This window comes from Homo sapiens, chromosome X (assembly GCF_000001405.40).
Source record: "Homo sapiens chromosome X, GRCh38.p14 Primary Assembly".
Classification (NCBI taxonomy): Eukaryota; Metazoa; Chordata; class Mammalia; order Primates; family Hominidae; genus Homo; species Homo sapiens.
The window spans coordinates 148438467-148445662 of record NC_000023.11 but is presented as its reverse complement, the minus strand read 5'-3'; the positions used below and the strand labels follow the sequence as shown (position 1 = coordinate 148445662).

Sequence of the window (7196 nt, the reverse complement as noted above, 5' to 3'; positions counted from 1 at the left end):
CAAAGGGATTCTGGAAGTTAGTCATAGACCCTGCAGGACTAGGTCTAAGAAGGGTAATTTGGTGAGAAGCTACTCTTCAACATCATGATTCTCGTTTTCCATCTAAAAAATGTTTTATTAAGTAGATGTGCTGAGCTCTCTATAGTAGTTTGTTTGGTTGTTTAATAGAATGTGAATTAAAATTTAAAAGGCATTTAGAAACATTTCTTGTAACCAAAGCACTAGATGTATGTTTCACTAGGGTGAGAACTGTCTATTCCACATATCTTTACCACGAGCTGTCTGATACATTTATTCAAGTGCACAGTGAATGGCGCATGGATGAACAAATGAATAATCTGAACAGCAAGTAGTAAAATAGTAGAGCTGGATAGGGCCCTTAATAAAAAGTCATTATAAACTTGTCTGACCGTTAGAGTTACCTGGCCACTTCTTAAAAATATAGATGATCTGGTCTCCACTCTTTACTGGAATCCATAATTCAAACAAGCTATTATGGTGATTCTTTTATTTTAAAATGCATGATTCAGTGGTTTTCAGTATATTCACAAGGTTGTATAACTCTCACCACTAACAAATTCAAGAACACCTTCATCACCCCCAAAAGGAAACCCCGTATTTATTAAGCAGTCATTCTCCATTCTCCCTCCCCCAGCCTCTGACAACCATTGATCTTCTTTCAGTGTCTATGTATTTGTCTATTCTGGACATTTAATATAAGTGGAATCATACAGTTTGTGGCCTTCTGTTTCTGGCTTCTTTCAATAAGCATAATTAACATCATGTATTCAAGGTTAATTTTTACCATAGCATGTATCAGTACTTCATTCCTGTTTATTGGTTGAATAAGTTTTTAATATACGGACATGCTGCATTTTTGATTATTCATTCACCAGTTGATGGACATTTGAGTTGTTTCTATTTTTGGACTATTATGAATAATTCTGCTATGGACATTTGTTGAGTAGATACCTGTTTTCAATTCTCCTGCAATGTGTAGTGATAGCAGGCAACAATCAAAGATCTGGAGTGGGGGAAACAGATGCAGGATTTGGGGAAAAGCCATGTGCAAGCTCACACAAGGAATCAATGGCAGAGTTGAGTCCAGAGCCCAGACCTCCTGACTCCAAAAGGGACTCTTGACTCCTCCAAAGGGACAGGACTCTGTCTCTCCTTTGCTGAAGTGTTCATCCCAGTCAGAAATCTGTGCAAACCTTTCAGAGATGTTTCTTCCAGGGATTTGGATGAGGGTACAGGGTGAGCTGCCATATCTGAACCATCTATAATCGGTGAGGTCCTGACAGCAACTGGGTTGAGTAACTGCTTCTACACAATAGTAACAACCCATTAGAAGAGAATGTATAGCTTCTTGGGGACCCTCATTTATTTAACATGGGATGAAGAGTGAATAATAATAACTATTGACTCGTCTACTTGGAGGAAGTTAAAGTCACTTCCATTTCTTTGTCAGATACCCCAGAGTAGCATTGAGCACTCTTTTTCTCAGAAACACCCTCTACTTAGCTGACTGCTATCATTGCTGACTTGAACATTTGAAGGAGAAACAGTCTGCGAACAGGCACAATTTTTTCAGTGCAACATGACTTGCAGGGGCAAATGTCCACTGGGGACTTATTTTCTAGGCACCAAATACTGATTGAAGATGTAGTTAACTATGTATGAAATTTTAGCTCCCTCAATTAATTGGGGGCACTAAATTATGGCTGCTCCAAAAAAGCAGAAAAGACTTTATGAAAATTGAACCTGTTAAAGGGAATTCTGCCAGGTTAAGGGCAATAAACTACAGCAGCCTGCAATGATGATGACCTTTAGCAAGAACAGCTAACTTCCTTGTCAGTTGAAAAGGTATCAGAAGGCTAAATTTGAGGCTGTGCAAAAAGTGCTGGAAAAACCCAATTCAGTTAGGCTAGACCAACTATCAGTCCTAAAATAAAATTGCACTGTGTTTGGTTGCTTAATCAGCATTGAGAATATTAAACACTGTCCTCTTTCATTCTTTTTAAAAAGATATCTGACTGCTCTGGTCTGAATGTTTGTGTCCCCCCATAATTCATATGTTGAGACCCTAATCCCCAAGGTGATGGTATTAGGAGGTAGAGCCTTTGGAGATGTGATTAGGTCATGAAGGCAGGGACCTCATGATTGGGATTAGTGTCCTTATAAAAGAAACTTCAGAGGACTAGCTAGCCCCTCCCACCACGTGAGGAAACAGCTAGAAGGTGCCATGTAAGAGCCAGGAAGTGGGCTCTCACCAGACGCTGAATCTGCGGGTCCATTGATCTTGGACTTCTTAGCTCCCAGAACTATGAGAAATAAATTTCTGTTGTTTAGTAGCTACCTAGTATATGGTATTTTGTTACAGCAGCCTGGACAGACTAAGATGTTATTAATAAATATGTTTTCTGTGCTTATCTTTCTGAAAGCAATAAATCTATAGATTACACAAGCACCTAGAACAGATCTGGCACTCAACAGATGCTTTGAATGAATGAATGGATGATAAGGTCTAACAAGGAAATAGACCTTGTTCTTAAAAGCTTGCAATGGGCATAAATGAATTCTAGAAAGTTTAGAAAGTGTCGGTAATTGAGGTCATGGCAATGGGACCAAAAAAAAAGAATTATAACTTCCAAAGATAAAAACTAAAACATGAGAATGGTGTCAGGATCAGAAAGACATCTCAGAACCTACCAGTCTTGGGTCTTGAGCTGGGCTTCAGATAAATAATGGTAATGTGAGAATCTTGTATGACAAAGAGGTATTCAGTTATTATCTGCTTAATATGAATAAGAATAGGAATAAGGAGAAGAATAAGAGAAGGAGAAGAACAAGAGGAGGAGGAAAAGTAGGAGGAAAAATAATAGAATGGAATTGACAGAAAGAATGGAAGAAAGAGAAGAGCAAAAGCAAAGGAACACAAAGAGGAATGAAGGGATTGTGTCCAGGAGGTCAAAATAATGCAGGCACTCTTTTTGATTTTATCATCCTCTGCTGTCAGGAACAGCTTGGCATCCAGACCTTAGTTTGTAAACTTTCCCTGAGCCAAGTTCATTTCCTGAACCCACTTGAGGGTTCTTTCCCATCAACCCCTGGAGCCTTGTTCTGGCCTTAGGCAGAATGCAGAGCCTCTATGTTAAAAAGATATTTACTCAAAGGTTACTGCCAGTTACTTGCATGCTGCTCAGCCCTCATACTTTTGTATTTCAGATCCATATTCTGGATGTGTGAAGAGGTGACTTCTTTTGTTAAGTTCATTGAGGTTTGTTGGTTTGCTTCCTTCTGCCCATCTGCTCTGAGCGGAGGAAGTTCCGATTGCCAGTATCTCACCTCCATGTTCCTCAGGACATTTTCCCTACCAGGGTGCTTATTTAGGCCTCTAGAACTCACCTGTTTCCTCCATGTGATCCCTGGGAAAGTCACCACTTCACAATACTTGAGTCTTTGTCTGGGTTTCAGCCCTCTGCCTCAAGACGCGGACTTCCCACCTGGACCAATGGTAACTGGCAAGACAAATTCTATACAAATTCATCTCCTAGTTAGGGTCCTTAACTGCATGGTCCTTAATGTAAAGTGAACTCGGTTGGTCTCCTTTCTGCTCAAATTGTAGCCTGCCACTTGAGCTCTCTGAATTCTCTCATAACTTATCTAAGTATGTGAGCAGTTAATCACACTTCTGAAAATTTCATTCCTTGACTAAATATTCATCAAGCACTTACTATGTGCCAGGAACTAGGATATGGGGACAAACAGAGCTTCCAGTCTGAGGCAAAAATAAATGTTATTCAAATCATTTTATAAGTAAACTCAAGAGCAGCCCTGTGCTGTCCCATCAGCAGCTCTACCCCTGGCAGTTTCTTAGAGGATACTGAGTCCTCACTTTGGACCCCCTTCATCAGACTGAGACTACAGTTGAGGAACCTGCCTAGCAAACTGACCACGTTCAAAAGAGGCAAGACAAAGGAATCCCTTTCCATTCAAAGCTTCTGCCAGGTGTTTGTGTAGCTAAGTGGTGGCTATTAAAAGTCCAACAACCCAGTAATGGCTCCCATTTCTTATGCACCTACAGGCCTCCCGGGCACAGTCATGAAAGCATTAAAATGAACAAAGGGGAACTGACAAAGCACTGCATAGCAGAGTAAATTGCTACCTCCAGTACCTCCTGGGTCAGCTGGGCTGATCGCTGTGGAGTCAGGAAGTGTTTCTCTCCTTTAAAGAGGACTCAGACAACTCTGTTTGGAGAATTTATATTTGTCCTTTGGGGCTGCACGTATGTTCATATGGAGGCCTTGTCTCTTCCTAATAATTTCCCATTGGATCGCCTGGAAAGAGAAGGCCTGTAAAAGAGCCCTTCCCAGCAGGGGGATAGGGAATGGACTTAGGAATGTCAAAGCCTTGTTCGAGGTTCTAGGGGAAGGAATGGATTCTTCTGACGACTCTCCCTAAAGCTGAGTGGGAATCTGCACAGAGAAGGTGTGAAGGTGAGGATGTTCTCTGTGAAGACTGGGGCTGTGCAGGGCTCTAGGCCCTGCACAATAAAAGTTATTAAGCACTGGAGTGAACCCATAAGTGGATTTCCTGTGAGAGCATGTGTGTTCACCCCTTGGACTACGGAAATAGTCCATAGGAATTGCAGGCTGCAAAATGAAGTGGAAATGGGAGAAGCAAGAAGGCACAAGCAAGACAGAGTAGCGGTGGCCTCTGGAATAGACTGACTCTCACCTTCCCAAATATGCCCCGTAAAAGATACTCTGTTTACAGAGCTTGAGGCATGTGTACTGAGTATAGTGACATATCTGTGAAATGCTGTATTTAGCAGTGTGGGTGCATGTATTGCTTTCTTTAGTGGCATATTTGAAACTATGCTTCACACAGCTAGGTGCACGAATGACTCACTACAGTGATATCTGCATGAAACACTGTTTAGCAACACATACTACATGTAGACTTCTTTAGGGATGCATGCTGAAACTATTTCAACAGAGCAAGGTGCGTGAATAACTCACTATAGTAATATCTGTGTGACGCACTATGTTTAACAGGGTATTGCTTTTCTATATGGACTACATTAAATGATGAATGTTAGAACTCAGTTAACAGAGCTTGGTGTATGTGGGTGTGTATGTGTGTGTTACTGAGTATGATGATATCTTTGAATCCCCATGTTTAGCAGTGTGTGGCATATGTATTACTTTGTTTAGTTATATACGTTGAAACACTGTGTTTAACTGTTAGAGAAAGATAGAACAAGACAGCCCAGCATTGGAGGAGCTGTAATTTCAGGGTTACATTAAATTACTATAATCGTGATAAGGGAGATAGAGATATGTACAGTGGACCATGGGCACATCCACCAGGGAGACCTAACCATGTCTGGGGCAGCTGGCATCATAAAAGGACCTCTCTGAGGACAGGACATTGAAACTGCACCTGAACGAATGAATAAGAGCACCTGTTTCCTGGGCAATTGCTCCACGCCAGGTATTATTTGAAGGGCTTTACATGATTGAACGCACTTAATCCTCACAAAAGCCATTTATCGTCATTGCACAAATAGAGAAACTGAGGCATACAGCAAATTTAGGTAATTCTCCAAGATTCTGAAGCTGCAGAGCCTGTCCTTGTCACCACTATGCTATAATGTCTATTTAAAAAAAAAAGAAATTAACTTACACAGAGGTGGAGAAAGAGTGTTTCAGGAACAACAAATGAGGTCTGGAGGAGAGAGTTTATGGTGTGTTCAAGGAACTGAAAAAAGGCTGGTGCGACAGGAGTGAGGGCACCAGGAAGAACCCTGTGAGATATAAAATAAAGCTTGAGAGGACCACAGTGGTTCACTCATTCAAAGCCTTGTGAGTTGTGGGAAGGGTTTGGATTTATCTTCAAGCAATGAGAAGCCCTCAAATAGTTTTGAGCAGGGAAAAGACACAATTGTTTTAGTGAGAAATCGTAGGATTCAAGAGAAACTTTGCCTTTGAAATCAATTACAACTTGGTGATAAATTGGGTGTTTGGGCATGAAGAGGAAAAAGTAACAATGACATGCGGGTTTTTCCACTGGAACAATCTTGTATGTGGTGATATGTTCTACTGAACTAGGGATTACCGGAGGAGATACAGGTTGAAGAGAGGGTGTGGGAAGCTTGAGAGCTTGGTTTCAAGCATCCATCTTTTGGTGTGCTCATGACACATTGAGTCCCTTGGATTTATATTATCTATACACCAATGGCTCCCACCTTATTGATAGCTGTCTGTTGAAATTTAATTTATCCAAAGAAGCATAACTTAATCTTGTTCATTCCCACAGGAATGAACAGCTTCTCCTCATCTTCCCCATTACAGTAAATGGTACCACCATCTATCTGGGTGCTCCAGCTGAAAACCTATGACTCTCCTCTCTCTCTCTCTCGCTCCTCACATCCAATCTATCGGTGGTTCTGACAGCTGTTTCTTCAAAATGCGCCCACGGTCCAAACACTTCTGTTCACCACCTCTACTGTGATCCCTCTAGCTCTAGTCACTGTCCTCTCTCACTTGAACAACTGCCGCAGCCCCCTACTTGGGCTTCCTGCTTCTACTCTCACGCCACTAGGGGATTTATCATCAGTGCAGCCAGAATGATCTTCCAAAAATGTAAATAAAATCATATCTTCCTGCTTCTCAAATCTCTTCAAAGACTTCCCTCTGCACTCAGATTTAAATCCAAAGTCCTTAACAGAGCCAACTAGGCATAACCTGACCCTGCCTGTTTCTCCAGGCTCAGCTCCTACCACTCTGACCCTCACTTACTCTTCTTGTTTTTCCTAGAACTCCTCCAGCTCATTTATCCCTTAGGGCCATTGTATTTTCTCTTCCCTTGGCCTGGAACACTCTACCTTCCAGATATTCTCATGCATTGCTATCATATTTCATTCATGGCTCTGTTCAAATGCCACCTTTTCAGAAGTCATGTCCTTCATCATCCTATCTCAAGTAGCACTACCTTTCACTCATTATTCCATTTACTTCATTTTATTTTCCTTCCTAGTATTTCTTATCACCTCAAATTATGTTATTTATTTCTTTGTTATTATTCTCCATAAGAATATACCTCTTCGAGGGCAGGGGCTCTATCTCATTCAGTAAGGCATGCCCAGTGCCCAGAACAGGATTGGGTATATAATAGATTTTCATGAACTC

The 7196-nt window shown here is 41.3% G+C and overlaps 2 annotated features.

Annotated features, from left to right (window-relative positions):
• Positions 3579 to 4253: an enhancer, noted in NCBI's record as "OCT4-NANOG-H3K27ac hESC enhancer chrX:147522929-147523603 (GRCh37/hg19 assembly coordinates)". NCBI's record gives its function as "activates a minimal SCP1, AML or CMV promoter by ChIP-STARR-seq in naive and primed H9 embryonic stem cells {active_cell/tissue: H9 hESC(naive and primed)}" and the evidence as "EXISTENCE:reporter gene assay evidence [ECO:0000049][PMID:30033119]".
• Positions 4254 to 4927: an enhancer, noted in NCBI's record as "OCT4-NANOG-H3K27ac hESC enhancer chrX:147522255-147522928 (GRCh37/hg19 assembly coordinates)". NCBI's record gives its function as "activates a minimal SCP1, AML or CMV promoter by ChIP-STARR-seq in naive and primed H9 embryonic stem cells {active_cell/tissue: H9 hESC(naive and primed)}" and the evidence as "EXISTENCE:reporter gene assay evidence [ECO:0000049][PMID:30033119]".